This window comes from Homo sapiens, chromosome 16, assembly GCF_000001405.40.
Source record: "Homo sapiens chromosome 16, GRCh38.p14 Primary Assembly".
Lineage (NCBI taxonomy): Eukaryota > Metazoa > Chordata > Mammalia > Primates > Hominidae > Homo > Homo sapiens.
The window spans coordinates 90152952-90172060 of NC_000016.10; the positions used below are offsets into that span (position 1 = coordinate 90152952).

Sequence of the window (19109 nt, forward strand, 5' to 3'; positions counted from 1 at the left end):
GTATTTTTAGTAGAGATGGGATTTCACCATATTGGCCAGGCTCCTCTGGAGCTCCTGACCTCAGGCAATCTGCCTGCCTCAGCCTCCCAAAATTCAAGGAGTACAGATGTGAACAACCACGCCCGGCCTCCATTTCTTTTTTGTAGTCTTTAATAAACAGCTGCTATCATTGCAGACTTGCTGTTTAGGCACTTAGGAATTTTTCACTAGAAGGCATGTAAATAAAGACCATGGGCAATTGTAATGAATTTCGCCTTCATTCTTTGACTACATGACTGTCCCCAGAGCTGTAACTTTATTGAATTTTTTAGAAGCCATTTAGCTAGCAACTGAGCCTAACCAGCCACTCACCGTCATTATTCAGTGCTCTTTTATTATTGTCTATTTCTCCTCCAACTTGGCTACACTCACAAAGTGATAAAAACTTGCATTTGTTTTCTTTCCTTTTCAGAGACAGCGTCTTGCTCTGTTGCTTAGGCTACAGTACAGTGACATGATCATGGTTCACTGTAGCCTCAAACTCCTGGGCTCAAGTGGTTCTCTCACTTCAGTCTCCCAAGTAGCTGGGACTACAGACATGTGCCACCATGTCCAGCTAATTTTTTATCATAGAGACGGGATCTTGCCATGTTGCTCCGACTGGGCTCAAAACTCCTGACCTCAAGTGATCCTCCTGCCTCAGCCTCCCAAAGTGCTGGGATTACAGGCAGGCATGACCACCTGTGCCCAGCCCCCTATTATTATTATTTTAAATAATAGCTTTATTAAAATATTCAAATGCCATTCACTTTATTTATTGAAATCTGCAATTCAGTAGGTTTTAGAATATTCACAGAGCTGTGCATCGATCACCACAGTCACTTTTAGAACCTTTCATTACCCTATAGAGAAATCCATACCCCTTAGCTACTACCTCCTACTCTCCCCACCTACCTTTGCCCCCAGCCTTAGGCAACCATTGATTAATTTTTTGTCACTATAGATTTGCCTAATCTGGACAAATAGAATTGTACAATATGTGATCTTTTGTGGCTTTTTTTCCCTCTTAGCACAGTGTTTTCAAAGTTCCTTTATGTCATAGTGTGTATCAATATTTCATTCCTTCTATGGCAGTATTCCATGGTAGAGACACACTGCATTTTGTTTATCTGTTCATCAGTTGGTGGATATTTGGGTTGTTTCCATGTATTCCATGTATTGGTCATTATGAATAATGCTGCTATGAAGATTGTTGTACAAGTTTTTGTGTGGACATATATTTTTATTTTTCTGGGATATATGCCTAGGAGTGAAATTGTTGCATTATAGGATGACTGTACATTTAGCCTTTTGAGAAACTGCCAGACTGTTTTCTAACGTGGCTATACCAGTTGGGTGCAATGGCTCACACCTGTAATCCCAGCTACTCAGGAGGCTCAGCTAGGAGGATGGCTTGAGCCCGTGAATTCAAGACCAGCCTGGGCAAGATAGTGAAACCCCGTCTTGATTTTTTAAAAATCCAATTAAAATGACAAGAAAAGAAATACCCAAACAAAATGGTTACACAATTTTATGTTCCCACCAGTAATGTATGTGGGTTCCAATTCCTCCACATCTTCACTGACATTTTTTTTTTCTAGATAGGGGCTTGCTCTGTCTCTCAGGCCGCAGTGCAATGATGCCATCACAGTTCACTGCAGCCGTGACCTCCCAGGCACAAGTGATTCTCTCATCTCAGCCTCCTGGGTAGCTGAAAATTACAGGTGTACGCCACCATGCCTGGCTAATTTTTAGATTTTTCTGTAGTGGTGGGATTTTACCATGTTGCCCAGGCTGGTCTCATACTCCTGGCCTCAAGTGATCTGCCCACCTCAGCCTCCCTAAGTTCTGGAATTACAGGCTGCCACCATGCCCGGCCTTCACCAACATTTGTCATTATCTGTTTTTTTTTTCTTCCTTTATACCTTAAAGCAGTATAAGAACAAGTGTCTTCAATTATAGGAAACAGTATAATCCCAGGGCTTTGGGAGGCTAAGACAGGAAGATGTCTTGATGCCAGGAGTTTTTTTTGTTGTTGTTGTTTTTGTTTTTGTTATTGTTGTTGTTGTTTTTGACAGTCTCGCTCTGTCACCCAGGGTGGAGTGCAGTGATGGGGTCCACTGCAACCTCCACCTCCCAGGTTCAAGTGATTCTCCTGCCTCAGCCTCCCGAGTAGGTGAGACTACAGGTACACGCCACTACTGCCCAGCTGATTTTTGTATTTTTGATAGAGTCAGAGTTTCACCGTGTTGGCCAGGCTGGTCTCGAACTCCAGACTTCAGGTGATTTGCCTGCCTTAGCTTCCCAAAGTGCTGCGATTACAAGCATGAGCCACCATGCCCAGCCTGATGCCAGGAGTTTTAGACTAGCCTGGGCAACCTAGCAAGACCTTGTCTCTACAGAATATTTAAAAATTAGCCAAATGTGGTGGTGCCTGTGTATAGTCTCTCTCCCTCTCTTTTTTTTTTTTCTAACTTTTTGTGACATGGTCTGGCTCTGTCACCCAGGCTGAAGTGCAGTGGTGTGATCATGGCTCACTGCAGCCTGAAACTCCTGGGATCAAGTGATCAATCCTCCCACCTCATCCTACCAAGTAGTAGGGACCACAGGTGTATGCCACCCAGGTCTTGCTATGTTGTCCAGGCTGGTCTTGAGCTCCTGGCCTCAAGCAATCCTCTCACCTTGGCCCCCCACAGTGCAAGGATTACAGGTATGAGCCACCATGCCTGGCCCCTACCCTGCCTACTGAGAACCAAAGGAAGGATCCAAATTCTCCTTAGCTCAACTCGAGCCATTTCCTGATTGCTTCATCAGCGAGGAGCTGGTTATTGGGCTGTCCAGGCCTCCCAAGCAGCACAGAAATGAGGTGAAGGAGTTTTCCTGTTGCTCCACTCTGTAAGGAGTTGGAGGGTGATGTTTACTCATTTGCAGAGAGAGATGCCTTGTAGGCACCTCAGCATGGAGAGGGCCCTGATTCCAATGTCCTTTTTTTCTTCAGAAACAGGACCTTGCCCTGTCACTCAGGATGGAGTTCAGTGGTCCTATCATGGCTCATTATAGCCTCAAACTCCCAGGCTCAAGCAATCCTACCATGTCAGCCTTCCCAGTAGCTGGAACTACAGGTAAGCATCGTGACACTCAGTGAATTTTGTTTTTATTTTGTTGTAGAGATGGGACCTCAGTATGTTGCCATGGCTGACCTTGAACTCCTGCACTCAAGGGATTTTCCTACCCTGGCCTCCCAAAGTATTGGTATTACAGGCATGAGCCATTGTGCCCACCGTCTCTGGTTCTTAACCTTCTGCCTCCCTCTTCCAGTTTTAAAGAATGCTTGTGATTACATGGGCTCTCCTAGATACTCCAGGATAATCTTGTTTTAAGGTCAGCTGATGAGCAACATTAATTTTATCTGCACTCTTAATTCCCCCTTCCTATGTAATTGTGCTGTGTAACATAGGACATGAGCAATTGGTGGCGGTGGGGGTTATTACTTTGGCCACCACAGTAACTATTTTATGCCAGGTACTCAGCTAAGCACTGGTGAATTAAGCATGAATAACACACACTCCTTAATCTCCATCCATTCATGGGAGGAGCACTTCACCTGCCATGCTCCTGAGAATCTCGGGAGTCATAGAAGTCTTCTATGAGGAGGTGATGCCAAAGCGGACAAGTGACAGAGGAGTCAAAGCTAGCTAGGAAGAGAGTAGAGGTTTAAGGGGAAGCATATTATAAGCAGAGGATATTACCCACTTCAGAGACTCCCAGAGGAGAAAGAGTGTGCGTTCAAGGGGCAGATGAGGCTCAGTTGGACTCCATAGCAGATGTAATGGAGAGGGGCAAGCAGTGAGGCTGCCTTGCAAGGCAGGGCAGAGCAGGGGCTGTTAAGGAGTTTGGACTTAATCCCTGAGGCAAGGAGAAGTGATGTAAATGGGGGAGTAACATGATGAGATTCATAGATTAGAGACATGGCTCAGGCTGCTGTAGAGAAGGCACCAGGAAGAGCAGATGGCTCAATGTGTGTGCAGAAGACCTCTCCCTGAGTTTAGGGAGAGGTTTTTAAAACAGAAGAAGTTTGAGTAATTTAAATGATGATGGGAAGGAGCTAAAAGTGGGGGATAGGTTAAAGATACAGGAAAGTGGGAGGAAGAACTGACAAGTGAGGTTCCAGAGAGGGCAGGAGAAGAGGAGATTCCCATAGGGGGATTAACACTTTCTTTTCTTTTTTCTTTCTAAGACAGGGTCTCACTCTGTCACCCAGGCTGGAGTGCAGTGGCACAATCTTGGCTCACTGTAGTGTAGACTTCCCAGGCTCAAGGGATTTCTCCCACCCCAGACTCCCAAGTAGCTGGAACTACGGGTGTGCACCACCACCACACCTGGCTAATGTCTCTTTTTTTTGGTAGACACAGAGTCTCACTATTTAGCACTGATTGGTCTCCAACTCCTGGCCTCAAGCGATCCTCCTGCCTAGGCTTCCCAAATTGCTGGGATTACAGGCATGAGCCACAATGCCTGGCCTCTGCTAGTTCCGTATTCTCTAGAGTTGTCTTTACTTTGTGCTAGTGTGTCCCTCATTGTGCTGATCCTCTGTAAAAATTAATACCTTTTTTTTTTTTTTGAGATGGAGTTTCACTCTTGTTGCCCAGGCTGGAGTGCAATGGTGCTATCTCGGCTCAGCGCAACCTCCACCTTCTGGGTTCAAGCAATTCTCCTGCCTCAGCCTCCCGAGTAGTTGGGATTACAGGCATGTGCCACCATGCCCAGCTAATTTTGTATTTTTAGTAGAGATGGGGTTTCTCTGTGCTGGTCAGGCTGGTCTCGAACTCCTGACCTCAGGTGATCTGTCTGCCTTGGCCTCCCAAAGTGCTGGGATTACAGGCATGAGCCATTTTGCCTGGCCAAAATTAATACTTTTTATATTAAATTTACATATATATATATATATGTTTTTTCTTTTTGATACCGGGTCTCACACTGTCACCCAGGCTGGAGTACAGTGGCACAACCTCTGCTCACTGCAGCCTCCACCTGCCAGGCTCAAGCAATTCTCCTGCCTCAGCCTCCCGAGTAGCTGGGATTACAGGTAAGTGCCACCACACCCAGCTGATTTTTGTGTTTTTTGTAGAGACGAGGTTTCGCCATGTTTCCCAGACTGTTCTCAAACTCCTGAGCTCAAAGCAGTCCACCCACCTTGGCCTCCCAGAGTTCTGGGATTACAGGTGTGAGCCATCTTGCTCATTCTAGTTTAAACTTTTGAGTGGTTTGTGTCTCCTGATTGGACTCCTACAAATACAGAATTGATGCTAGGAAGGGTACCAGGAGATAGACGCACACAGATGGGATTTGGGAATAGGTTTGGTTATCCAAGGAGCAGTGCTGAGCTCCTTGCAATGGGATATGGGATGCTGGTGATTTCCAGGAAGTGCGCTCACAATGACTCAAGCTGCCACATACTGTTGATTGTGAAATGCCAGTTGAAGCATATGTCCTGCAAGCTTAGGGGTGCTACAAGTTGACCACTGCAGCAGTAAAGATGACTCTGAAGAATGGCGTGGGATGGTTCCTTTCAAATGCACTTGAGCAGCGGTCTCCAACCACAGGGCCACAGAGCTGGAGGTGAGCAGCAGGCGAGTGAAGGGAAACTTCATCTGTATTTCTAGCCCCTCCCATCGCTTGCATGACCACCTGAGCTCCATGTCCTGTCAGATCAGCAGCAGCATTAGATTGTCATAGGAGCACAAACTCTGTTGTGAAGTGTGCATGCGAGGGATCTAGGTTGTGTACTCCTTATGAGAATCTAATGCCTGATATTCTGTTACTGTCTCCCATCACCCCAGGTGGACAGTCTAGTTGCAGGAAAACAAGCTCAGAGATCCCACTGAGTCTACATTATAGTGAGTTGTAGAATCATTTCATTATATATTACTATGTAGTAATAATAGAAATAAAGTGCACAATATATGTAATGCACTTGAATCATCCTGAAATTATTCCCTCATTCCCAGTCTGTGGAAAAATTGTCTTCCACACATTCACTCTGTTTTTTGGTAGAGGCAGGGTCTTAATATATTGCCCAGTCTGATCTCAAACTCCTGGCCTCAAGTAATATACCTCTCTCAGCCTCCCAAAGTGCTGAGATTACAGGCATAAGCCACCACCCTCAACCAAGAGTTTCTTAAACCAAATAAAAATTAAGTGAGATTACTTGAGCCCAGGTGGTCAAGGCTGCAGTGAGCCTGATTGCACCACTGCACTCCAGCCTAGGTGACAGAATGAGACTGTCTCAAAAAATAAAATAAAATACAAATTAACCCTTTATGACATTCCCAGTAACTTCCTAAGTGCTCCCCACAAGTCTTTGAATTCTGTTTAATTTTCACATAACATTTAAGACATTTAAGAACTTATGTCTGTCTGTGTCATCCCTTTATGTCAAAAGATGTCTTTTTGTCACTTCCAGCTGGATCTACCATGAAAGACTTGTGAATCCAGGAAGAGAGACTGACTGGGCAACATGTTATTCAGGTACAAAAAGATTTGGACTGTAACTTAAAAATGATCAAATTATGTTTCCCATGCATCAGGTGCAATGGGAAGCTCTTCTGGAGAGTGAGAGAAGCTTCCAGTTAAGGTGACATTGAAGCCAAGTCCTGAAAGATGAGGAAGAGTTGTATGAGAGTGGGGAGGGAAGGGGGAGGTGGAGGGATGGGGAATGGGCCGGGATGGGATAGCGCAAACTGCCCGGGAAGGGACACCAGCACTGTACAGACCTGAACAATGAAGATGGCATATTTTGTTCAGGGAATGGTGAATTAAGTGTGGCAGGAATGCTTTGTAGACACAGTAATTTGCTTGTATGGAATTTTGCCTGAGAGACCTCATTGCAGTTTCTGATTTTTTGATGTCTTCATCCATCACTGTCCTTGTCAAATAGTTTGGAACAGGTATAATGATCACAATAACCCCAAGCATAATATTTTGTTAATTCTCACAGAATCACATGTAGGTGCCACAGTTATCCCCATTTTATGAATGGAGTGATGAAAACCTTAGGAATAATGAATGATTTGCGCAGGCTCACCTGGATATTAAGACTGAGTCAAATGTTGGGTCTGGTCTGACTTTAATGTTTGCTTTGTTCATGAGCACCACATATTGCCTCTCCTATGCAGTTAAGCAGGTAGGTGACAGAAAAGCCCATGTTTGTCTCTACTCACACACTTCCGACTGAATGTATGTATGGAGTTTCTACACCAGATTCTTCAGTGCTCTGGATATTAACTGGGTATCCCATGACTTTATTCTGACACTACCTGGAGTTAGCACAGACCCCACAAGTTAGGGGCTCAGTCCCACGAGGCCATCCTCACTTCAGATGACAATGGCAAGTCCTAAGTTGTCACCATACTTTTGACCAACCTGTTACCAATCGGGGGTTCCCGTAACTGTCTTCTTGGGTTTAATAATTTGCTAGAACAGTTTACGGAACTCAGAAAAACAGTTTATTTTCTTTTTTTCTGAGAGAGAGGGTCTTATTTTGTTGCCCAGGCTGGTGTGCAATGGTGCAGTCATAGCTCATTGCAGCCTTGATTGTCTGGGTTCCAGTGGTTCTCCCACCTCAGCCTCCCTAGTAGCTGAGACTACATGCCTGCACCACCACATCTGGCTAGTTTCTTTTATTTTTTGTATAGATGGGGTCTTGTTGTGTTGGCCAGGCTGGCCACAAATTCCTGGTCTCAAGTGATCCTCCCACCTCAGCCTCTGAAAGTGCTGGGATTACAGATGTGAGCCACCACATCTGGCCAGTTCATTTCCTATTACTGGTTCATTGTGAAGGATACATCTCAGAAACAGTCAATGAAAGAGACGTGCATGCTGGATGCAGTGGCTCATGCCTGTAATCTCAGCACTTTGGGAGGCCAAGGTGGGAGGATCGCTTAAACTCAGGAGTTTGAGACCAGCCTGGGCAACATGGTGAAAACCTGTCTCTATAAAAAATTAAAAAATAATAATAATAACTGGTGTGGTGTTGTGCACCTAGAGTTCCAACTACTAGGGAAGCTGAGATGAGAGGATACCTTGAGCTGGGGACTGGGGAGGCTTAGGTTACAGTAAGCTGAGATTGTGCCACTGCACTCCAGCTTGGACAAAAGAGCCTGATCCTGTCTCAAAAAAAAGAAAGATACCCAGGGAAAGTTAAGTTCGGAGGGGCACAGAGCTCCCATGCCCTCTGTTGAACATGCGACCCTCCCAGCATCTCCTGTGTCCAGCAACCCTGAAAGCTCTGCAAACCCCTTTCGGGGTGTTTATGGAGGCTTTATTATGCAAGCATGATTGATAAAACCTTTGGCTGTTGGTGATTAAGTCAGTCTCCAGCCCCTCTTCCCCCTGGAGTTCAGTGCATGAGGCTGAAAGTTCCAAGCCTCTTACCATGTGGTTTCATGGTAATCAGCCCTCCTCTTGAAGAAATTTAGGAGCTTGCAGTCACCCAGTCATCTCAACAACATCCCCAAATGCATTCTTACCATGCTGGAGATCCCAAAGTTCTTAGAGGCTCTTGTGTTAGAAACCTGGGACCAAGACCAAATATTAAAACAAAAGATGCTCCTGTCACATCTATCACTGAGGTCTTTGTAAGAGCTTTAGAAGCTCTGTGCCAGGAACCAGGGACAGAGATTAAATATATATTTCTTTTCTTTTTTTTGAGACAGAATCTCCCTGTGCCATCCAGGCTGGAGTGCAGTGATGTGATCATAGCTCACTATAGCTTTGGCCTTCTGAGATCAAGCAATCCTCCCATCTCAACCTCCCAAGTAGCTAGGACTACACATGCATGTCACCCATGCCCAGATCATTTTTGTAGAGTCAGAGTTTCACCGTGGTGGCCAGGTTGGCCATGTTGGCCAGATGGGGTCTTCTTTTGTTGCCCAGGCTGGCCACAAATTCCTGGGCTCAACTGATCCTCCCACCTCGTCCTTGTAGAGATGAGATTTAGTTATGTCGTCCAGGCTGATCTCAAACTCCTGGGCTAAATCGATTGTCTCACCTCAGCCTCTCAAGTATGTTATGAAGGTTATATGTTAGGAAGGGTCCCAGGAGGTAGACCCACACAGATGGGATTTGGGCATAGGTTTGGTTTCCCAGGGGGCAGTGCTGAGCTCTTTGCCAGTGGGAAATGGGATGCGGGTGATTTCCAGTAGGTGACCTCACAGTGACTCAAGCTACCACTTACTGTTGATTGTGACGAAATGCCAGCTGAGGCACATGCCTTGGGAGCTAAGTGGTTGCTGCCCTGGACCACTGTGAAGACTGGTGTGGGAAGGGTCGCTTTGGATGCACTTGAGCAGGGGTCCCCAACCCCTGAGCCATGGAGCCGCAAGGAGCCACACAGCAGGAGGTGAGCGGTGTCGAGTGAGGGAGTGAGGGAAGCTTCGTCTGTATTTACAGCCACTCCCCTTTGCTCACATTCCCGCCTGAGCTCCACCTTCTCAGATGAGCAGCAGCGTTAGATTCTCATAGGAGAACACACCCTGTTGTGAACCGTGCATGTGAGGGATCTAGGTTGCGCTGTCCTTATGAGAATCTAATACCTATTGATCTGTTACTTTCTCCCATCACGCTCAGGTGGGACCATCCAGTTGCAGGAAAACAAGCTTAACACGCCCACTGATTCTACATTATGGTGAGTTCTATAATTATTTTATTATATATTACAGTGTAATAATGGAAATAAAGTGCCTAATAAATGCAAATGTGCTTACATCTTTTGGCCCAGCTCCTACCTCCCGGCAGCCTCTCCAGGCCCCGAACTTTCTCTAGTCAGCCTCTACAGACCAAGCTCATGACTCTCAATGGCCTATTTAGGCCCATACCCTATCACGGCAGCCTCCGCAGATGAGGCTACTGCCTCACAACAGCCTCCACAGGCACAGCTCCATCGTTACAATGGCCTCTTTAGACCCAGCTCCTGCCTCCCAGCCTTCTCTCCAGGCTCTGAACTTTCTCAGTAAGTTCAGGTAGCTGGGACTGTAGGTATACATGACGATACTTGGCTAATTTTTAAATTGTTTTGTAGACACGGGGTCTCACTTTGTTGGCCAGGCTGGTGTCAAACTAATGGCCTCAAGTGACCCTTCCACCCCTGCCTCCCATCCTCGAGGTATGTGCCACCACAGGGAGCACTTGTTCAATTTTCTAAAAAAGAAATTTCTAAAGTAAGGCTGTGGGATGATGGCAGGAAGATAAAAGAAAAACAGAAGAATAAGTTAAAATGACTTATTCACACATATTCTTTTGACAGCAAGAAGAACTTTTAGTATATACATTCCTTACAAACAAACAAAAGGCAGATAAACAATGTTGTATAGGAACTTCAACACACACTGTACAATATTCCCACTTTGCTGACATAAGTTATGGAAATTTCATGGTTTACTTGAGTGTCGCTACCAGTATTTTGCTTCTCTGATGATTTTTATCAACTTCCTCATCTGTTAACTTCTCTCCAAGGTATGTCATGTCACGACATACTGCCGCTGCACGAACATGGCCAGTGTCTTCCTATTCAACATGTAGAATGCTTTCCTAATTTCTCTTTTTACTCTCTGTCTTTGTGTTCTGCATTTTCCTTACTTTTATTGTCAGAAACTCCAGAAAGTCAATCGTACTAATTTATCACGATTTGCTTTATTAATTTATACTTTGCTTATATGGAATTTTGTCCAACAGACCTCATCACAGTTTCTAACCTGTTTTATTTTTTATTTATTTATTTTTTTTGTTCTGAGACAGGGTCTCCCTCTGTTGTCCAAGGCTGGAGTGTAGTAGTGCTATCGCAGCTGACTGCAGCCTCAACCTTCCAGGCTGAAGCGATCCTCCCACCTCAACCTCCCACGTGGCTGAGACTACAGGTGCTTGCCACTATGCCCAACTAACATTTGGAATTTTCGTATACGTGGATTCCAGAGGGGTGACAGCGAAACGTGAGTAAGCATGGATTTTGGTATATGCAGAGATGGGGGGCTGGAACTAATTCTGTATACTGAGGGATGACGACTGTGTATGTTTTTACAATTACGCTGTAGGATACATACTGTTGCATAGCCTTGAAAATAATAATTTTTAATTGAGTGGAATAAGAATAATATTGATAAAAGTAGCAGCTGGCCAGGTGTGGTGGCTCACACTGGTAATCGCAACACTTTGGGAGGCTGAGGCAGGAGGATGGCTTGAGGCCAAGAGTTTGCGATAGGCCTTGGAAACAAAGGGGGAGTCACCATCCCTACAGAAAAATACATGAATTAGCCTAGTGTGGTGGCATGTTCCTGTAGTCCCAGCTACTTGGGAGGCTGAGGTGGGAGGATCACTTGAGCCCAGGGAGGCTGAGACTGCAGTGAGTCATGATCAGGCCTCTGCACTCCAGCCTGGGTGACAGAGTGAGACCCTGTCTCAAAACAACAAAAAAGTAGCAGCTAACATCAACTGACCTTTTACCAGGTGCCTATTGATACCATAGTTTAATTTCTTATAACTGTTTCTTATTTCACTTACCAACTCTGTCTTCAGTTACTCCCAGATTTTTACTGTGTGTGTACAGATGACCTTTTGCTTAGATTGAATTGTCTCCCCAGAAGTAAGATTACTGTGAGTCATGGTGAATGGACATTCTCCTTACCCTTGATGTAAATTGACAGGGTTTTGGGTGCCTCCCAGCTATAATCTTAGCACTTTGGGAGGCTAAGAGAGGAGGATTGCTTGAGGCCAAGAGTTGGAGGAGGCAGTATGGCAGTATGGTGAGACCCTGTCTCCATTATTTTAAAAAATTGACAGGCTTTACCCGGGAAGGCTTATACACAATTTAACCACCCCTCATAGTATAAGAAAGTGCCCATTTCACTGCACCTTTGCCAGCACAGGGTATTATAATTTCGTAAGCCATTTTTTGTTTGATTATTTTAAATAGACAAAAGACCTCATATTACTTTACTTGTCACATTTCAACATCTTTCCTCAGCTTATTAGCTCTATTTCTTTTCTGTCTGTAAATGGTTGTTGTGGTTTTGTTCTTTGAGACAGGGTCTTGCTCTGTCATCCGGCTGGACTGTAGTGGCATAATCATGCCTCACTGCAGCCTTGACCTCCCAGGCTCAAACTTCCGCATTCCGAGTAGCTGGGACTACAAGTGTGCACCACCACCCCCAGCTAACTTTTTTCTTCTTTTGGATAGAGACAGGGTCTCACTGTGTCATCCAGAGCGGTCTCTAGCTCCTGGCCTTAAGCAATCCTCCTGCATTAGCTTCTGTAATGGCTGGAATTTCAGGCATGAGCCACCATGCCTGGCCTGGGCTAGTCCCATATTCTCTAGAGTTCTCTTTACTCTGTGCTAGCCAATCTCTCATTATGCTGTTCACCTGTTATAATGAATAATTCTCTGTATTAAATTTTACCACTTTAAACTTTTGAGTGGTTTATGCTTCCTGATTGGACTCTGACTAATATGTTAGGAAGGGTCCCAGGAGGTAGACCCACACAGATGGGATTTGGGCATAGGTTTGGTTTCCCAGGGGGCAGTGCTGAGCTCTTTGCCAGTGGGAAATGGGATGCTGGTGATTTCCAGTAGGTGACCTCACAGTGACTCAAGCTACCACTTACTGTTGATTGTGACGAAATGCCAGCTGAGGCACATGCCTTGGGAGCTAAGTGGTTGCTGCCCTGGACCACTGTGAAGACTGGTGTGGGAAGGGTCGCTTTGGATGCACTTGAGCAGGGGTCCCCAACCCCTGAGCCATGGAGCCGCAAGGAGCCACACAGCAGGAGGTGAGCGGTGTCGAGTGAGGGAGTGAGGGAAGCTTCGTCTGTATTTACAGCCACTCCCCTTTGCTCACATTCCCGCCTGAGCTCCACCTTCTCAGATGAGCAGCAGCATTAGATGCTCATAGGAGAACGCACCCTGTTGTGAACCGTGCATGTGAGGGATCGAGGTTGCGCTGTCCTTATGAGAATCTAATACCTATTGATCTGTCACTTTCTCCCATCACGCTCAGGTGGGACCATCCAGTTGCAGGAAAACAAGCTTAACACGCCCACTAATTCTACATTATGGTGAGTTCTATAATTATTTTATTATATATTACAGTGTAATAATGGAAATAAAGTGCCTAATAAATGCAAATGTGCTTACATCTTTTGGCCCAGCTCCTACCTCCCGGCAGCCTCTCCAGGCCCAGAACTTTCTCCAGTCAGCCTCTACAGACCAAGCTCATGACTCACAATGGCCTATTTAGGCCCATACCCTACGTCACGGCAGCCTCCGCAGATGAGGCTACTGCCTCACAACAGCCTCCACAGGCACAGCTCCATCGTTACAATGGCCTCTTTAGACCCAGCTCCTGCCTCCCAGCCTTCTCTCCAGGCCCTGAACTTTCTCAAGTCGACCTCACCAGGCCCAGCTCATGCATCTTGGTGGCCCCTCCAGGCCCAGCCTCTGCCTCCCGTCAGCCTCTACAGTCCCAACGTCTGCCTCACAGCAGATTCTTCACGCCCAGCATCTACCTCACTGTGGACCCCCCAAGCCAAGCTCCCAACCTTTCAGCAGCTTCTACACACCCAGCTCCTGCCACCCAGTGGCCTCTTTAGGCCAAGCTCATGCTTCACAAGGGCCTTTCCAGGCCCAACTTTTGTCTCATGGCAACCTTCCCTGGCCAGATTCCTGCCTGTCTCCCAGCAGCCTAGACAGGCCCAGGTCTTGCCTCACACTGGCCTCTCTACATCCAGCTTATGCCTCACGGTGGCCTCTCCACGCCCAACTCCTGTCCCAGGACGTCATCTCCGGGCCCAAAACTTACTCAAGTCAGACTCTCTAGTCCCAACTGCTGCCTCCTGGTGGCCTATGAAGGCCCAAAATCTCAAGTTGACCTGTCCAGGCCCAGCTCCTGCCTCCTGTCAGCGTCTACAGGCCCAACCTCTGCCTCATGGGGGCTTTTCCAGGCCCACCTCTTCCTCTTGGCTGGGTCTACAGGCACAACTGCTGCCTCACAACAGCCTTTTTTGGCCCAGTTCCTGTCCAGCTCATGGCGGCCAATGTAGGCCCAAAACTTCCTCAAGTCAAACTCTCCAGGCCCACCTTCTGCTTCCCGGTGGCATCAACAGGCCCAGCTTTGACTTGAGAACAGCCTCTGCAGGCCCTGCTCTTGCCTCCCAGGGGCTTTTTCCAGGCCCAGCTCTTGCCTCGTGGCAGCTGCCCAGGCCAAATTTCTGCCTGCCTGCCAGCAGCCTCAACAGGCACAGCTCCTCCCTCACAGTGGCCCATTTAGGCCCAACTCATGACTGTGAGGCCATTTCCAGGCCTAGTGCCTGCCTCGTGGCTGACTCTTGAAGCCCAAAACTTCCTCAAATCAGCCTTTTGCCCAACTTCTGTCTACTGTTGGACTCTACAGGCCAGCCTCTGCCTCACAGTGGACCCTCCAGACTCAGATGGTGTCTCACTGTGGCATCCTCAGGCGAAGCTCCTGCCTTTCGGCAGCCTCTCCAGGCCCAGCTCCTCCTGCCTCCCAGTGGCCTCTTTCGGCCCAGCCCAGCTCATGCCTCCCGGCGGCCTTCCCAAGCCCCGCTTTTGACTTTCGGTGGCCTCTGCAGGCCTCGACAAGGCCCAGCCTCCTGCCTCCCGAAGGCCTGCACAGGCCCAGCCTCTGCCTCACAGCGGACTCTCCACGCCCAGCTAGCTGTTGCCTCACTGCGGCCTCCCGAGTCCAAAGCTCCTGCCTCTCGGCCGCTTCGGCAGGCCCAGCTCCCGCCTGCCAGTGGCCTCTTCAGGCCCATGGGGCTCATTCCTGACAACGGCCTTTCCAGGCCCAGTTTTTCCCTTCCGGCGGCCTCTCCGGGCCCAGAACCTCCTCAAGTCGGCCTCTCCAGACCCACTTGCACCCTCCGGGCATCCTCTCCGGGCCCAGCTCTTCTTCCTGGTTGCGTCTCCAGGCCCGATTCCTGCTTCTCAACAACCTCTTTGGACTCAGTGCCTACCCATCTCCTGGCGGCCTTGGTCGGCCCACAGCTTCCTCAAGCCAAGCTCCCCAGGCCCAGGTCAGGCCTCACGGTGGCCTCTCCAGGATGAGCTCCTGCCCTCCGATGGCATCTCCAGGCCCCAAATGGTCTCCGGTCGGTGGGCTCCTCCACGCCAAGGTTGGGCCTCCCGGCGACCGCCGCAGGCCCAAGTTGTCCTGAAGTCGGGCTCTCCCGGCCCTGCCTCCCAGCAAGTAAGCAAGCTCTTTTGGCTCAACTCCTGCCCAGCTCCCAACCGCCTTTGTAGGCCCCGAACTTTCTCCAGCCAAGCTCTGAGGGCCCACCTCCTGCCTCCTGGTGGCCTGTACAGTTCTAGCACTGGTTAGAGAACAGCCTCTGCAGGCCCCGCCCTTGCCTCCCAGGGGCCTCTCCAGGCCCAGCTCTTGCCCCCACGGCGGCCTCCCGGGGCCAAGTCCCTGCCTGCCTCCCAGCAGCCCGCGTACGGCCCAGCTCCTCCCTCACGATGGCCTGTTGATGCCCAACTCATGCCTCTGGCACCCTGCCCAGAGGCGTGAGCCCCTGTCTCACACTGGCTCCTCCCACGCTGAGAGAGGTCAGTGTGAGCCCTTGCCTCACACCGGCCCCTCCCACGCGGACAGAGGTCAGCGTGAGCCCCTTGCCTCACACCGGCCCCTCCCACGCTGAGAGAGGTCAGTGTGAGCCCTTGCCTCACCCCGGCCCCTCCCACGTGGACAGAGGTCAGCGTGAGCCCCTTGCCTCACACCGGCCCCTCCCACGCTGAGAGAGGTCAGTGTGAGCCCTTGCCTCACACCGGCCCCTCCCACACGGACAGAGGTCAGCGTGAGCCCCTTGCCTCACACCGGCCCCTCCCACGCTGAGAGAGGTCAGTGTGAGCCCTTGCCTCACCCCAGCCCCTCCCACGTGGACAGAGGTCAGCGTGAGCCCCTTGCCTCACACCGGCCCCTCCCACGCTGCGAGAGGTCAGCCTGAGCCCTTGCCTCACACCGGCCCCTCCCACGCTGAGAGAGGTCAGCCTGAGCCCTTGCCTCACACCGGCCCCTCCCACGCTGAGAGAGGTCAGCCTGAGCCCTTGTCTCACACCGGCCCCTCCCACGCTGAGAGAGGTCAGCCCGAGCCCCTCGCCTCACACCGGCCCCTCCCACGCTGAGAGAGGTCAGCCTGAGCCCTTGCCTCACACCGGCCCCTCCCACGCTGAGAGAGGTCAGCCCGAGCCCCTCGCCTCACACTGGCCCCTCCCACGCTGAGAGAGGTCAGCCTGAGCCCTTGTCTCACACCGGCCCCTCCCACGCTGAGAGAGGTCAGCCCGAGCCCCTTGCCTCACACCGGCCCCTCCCACGCTGAGAGAGGTCAGCCTGAGCCCTTGCCTCACACCGGCCCCTCCCACGCTGAGAGAGGTCAGTGTGAGCCCCTTGCCTCACCCCGGCCCCTCCCACGCTGAGAGAGGTCAGTGTGAGCCCCTTGTCTCACACCGGCCCCTCCCACGCTGAGAGAGGTCAGCCTGAGCCCTTGCCTCACACCGGCCCCTCCCACGCTGAGAGAGGTCAGCCCGAGCCCCTCGCCTCACACCGGCCCCTCCCACGCGGACAGAGGTCAGCGTGAGCCCCTTGCCTCACACCGGCCCCTCCCACGCTGAGAGAGGTCAGCCTGAGCCCTTGCCTCACACCGGCCCCTCCCACGCTGAGAGAGGTCAGCCCGAGCCCCTCGCCTCACACCGGCCCCTCCCACGCTGAGAGAGGTCAGTGTGAGCCCTTGCCTCACACCGGCCCCTCCCACGCGGACAGAGGTCAGCGTGAGCCCCTTGCCTCACACCGGCCCCTCCCACGCTGAGAGAGGTCAGCCTGAGCCCTTGCCTCACACCGGCCCCTCCCACGCTGAGAGAGGTCAGCCCGAGCCCCTCGCCTCACACCGGCCCCTCCCACGCGGACAGAGGTCAGCGTGAGCCCCTTGCCTCACACCGGCCCCTCCCACGCTGAGAGAGGTCAGCCTGAGCCCTTGCCTCACACCGGCCCCTCCCACGCTGAGAGAGGTCAGCGTGAGCCCCTTGCCTCACACCGGCCCCTCCCACGCTGAGAGAGGTCAGTGTGAGCCCTTTGCCTCACCCCGGCCCCTCCCACGCTGAGAGAGGTCAGCCCGAGCCCCTCGCCTCACACCGGCCCCTCCCACGCTGAGAGAGGTCAGTGTGAGCCCTTGCCTCACACCGGCCCCTCCCACGCGGACAGAGGTCAGCGTGAGCCCCTTGCCTCACACCGGCCCCTCCCACGCTGAGAGAGGTCAGCCTGAGCCCTTGCCTCACACCGGCCCCTCCCACGCTGAGAGAGGTCAGCCCGAGCCCCTCGCCTCACACCGGCCCCTCCCACGCGGACAGAGGTCAGCGTGAGCCCCTTGCCTCACACCGGCCCCTCCCACGCTGAGAGAGGTCAGCCTGAGCCCTTGCCTCACACCGGCCCCTCCCACGCTGAGAGAGGTCAGCCCGAGCCCCTCGCCTCACACCGGCCCCTCCCACGCGGACAGAGGTCAGCGTGAGCCCCTTGCCTCACACCGGCCCCTCCCACGCTGAGAGAGGTCAGCCTGAGCCCTTGCCTCACACCGGCCCCTCCCACGCTGAGAGAGGTCAGCGTGAGCCCCTTGCCTCACACCGGCCCCTCCCACGCTGAGAGAGGTCAGTGTGAGCCCTTGCCTCACACCGGCCCCTCCCACGCGGACAGAGGTCAGCGTGACCCCCTGCCTCAACAGGCCACCGTGAGGGAGGAACAGGATCGCACTCGGGCTGCTGGGAGGTAGGCAGGGACTTGGGCCTGGGAGGTCGCGGTGGGGCGAGAGCTGGGCCTGGAGACTCCCCTGGGAGGCAACAGCGGGGTCTGCAGACGCCCTTCTCCAGCCGGAGCTGGGACTGTTCAGTCACTGGGAGAAGGGATGTGGGTCTGAAGAGCTTGGTTGCAGAAACTTCGGGGTCTACAAACGCAGGCGGGAGCTGAGCCAAAAGAGCTTGTTTGCTGGGAGGTGGGAGATGCAGCCAGGAGGAACAGCTGGGCAATGCGGGAGGCAGAGGCCAGGCCTCCTCAAGTTGGCCTCTCAGACCCACTTGCAGCCTCCCGGCGCCCCCTCCGGGCCCAGCTCTTCCTCCCGGCTGCATCTCCAGGGCGGACTCTGGCCCGACTCCAGGTCCCAACAACGTCTTTGGACTCAGCTCCTGCCCAGCTCCCAGCGGCCCTGGTAGGCCCACAACTTCCCTAAGCCAAGCTCCCCAGGCCCAGCTCAGGCCTCGCGGTGGCCTCTCCAGGCTCAGCTCCTGGCCCTCCGATGACATCTGCAGGCCCCAAACGGCCTCCGGTCGGTGGGCTCCTCTAGGCCCAGCTTGGGCCTCCCGGCGGCCTCCGCAGGCCCAAATCGTCCCGAAGTCAGTCTCTCCAGGCTTAGCTCCAGCCTCCCGGCGGCCTCTGCAGGCCCAAGTCGTCCTCAAGTCGGCCTGGAAGTGGGCCTGGAAGAGCAGCAAGTCGGCCTCCCCGGGCCCAGCTCCGTCCTCTCGGCGGCCTCTCCAGGTGCAAAACTTCCTCGAGTCAGCCTCTCCAGGCCCAGCTCCTCCTGCCTCCCAGTGGCCTCTTTCGGCCCAGCCCAGCTCATGGCTCTCGGCGGCCTTCCCAGGCCCCGCTTTTGACTTTTGGCAGCCTCTTCAGGCGCAGAACTTGATCTCCAGGCGGCCTTTGCAGGCCCGGCCTCCTGCCTCTCGAAGGCCTGCACGGGCCCGGCCTCGGCCTCGGCCTCACAGCGGACTCTCCACGCCCAGCTAGCTCTCGCCTCACTGCGGTCTCCCCAGTCCAAAGCTCCTGGCTTTCGGCCACTTCGGCAGGTCCAGCTCCTGCCTGCCAGTGGCCTCTTTAGGCCCAGCTCATTCCTCACGTCGGCCATTCCAGGCCCCGTTTTTCCCTTCCGGCAGCCTCTTGGCCTCTAATTTGTTTATCTTTTGTGTATAAATCCCAAAATATTGAATTTTGGAATATTTCCACCATTATGTAAATATTTTGGTAGGTAATTTATTTGGAGTGAGTTTC

At 51.5% G+C, this 19109-nt stretch overlaps 2 long non-coding RNA genes and 1 pseudogene across 3 annotated transcripts in view; all 3 read left to right on the forward strand.

The window, feature by feature from the left end:
* LOC105376781 (uncharacterized) overlaps positions 1 to 8771 on the forward strand; it is a 34672-nt gene extending 25901 nt beyond the window's left edge. The window contains exons 12-17 of the long non-coding RNA NR_170196.1: positions 3017 to 3140; positions 5007 to 5104; positions 5441 to 5637; positions 6482 to 6546; positions 7097 to 7201; positions 8733 to 8771. This is a non-coding gene — a long non-coding RNA (uncharacterized LOC105376781). The remainder of the gene's footprint in view (positions 1 to 3016; positions 3141 to 5006; positions 5105 to 5440; positions 5638 to 6481; positions 6547 to 7096; positions 7202 to 8732) is intronic.
* The window catches only part of FAM157C (family with sequence similarity 157 member C), a 75343-nt gene that overhangs the window by 50688 nt on the left and 5546 nt on the right, over positions 1 to 19109 (forward strand). The window lies entirely within an intron of this gene.
* LOC101927999 (putative uncharacterized protein FLJ44672) lies at positions 12304 to 19090 on the forward strand (annotated as a pseudogene). Its single transcript, XR_001752313.2, has 2 exons — positions 12304 to 12837; positions 13216 to 19090. The product of XR_001752313.2 is annotated as a putative uncharacterized protein FLJ44672, transcript variant X1 (transcript).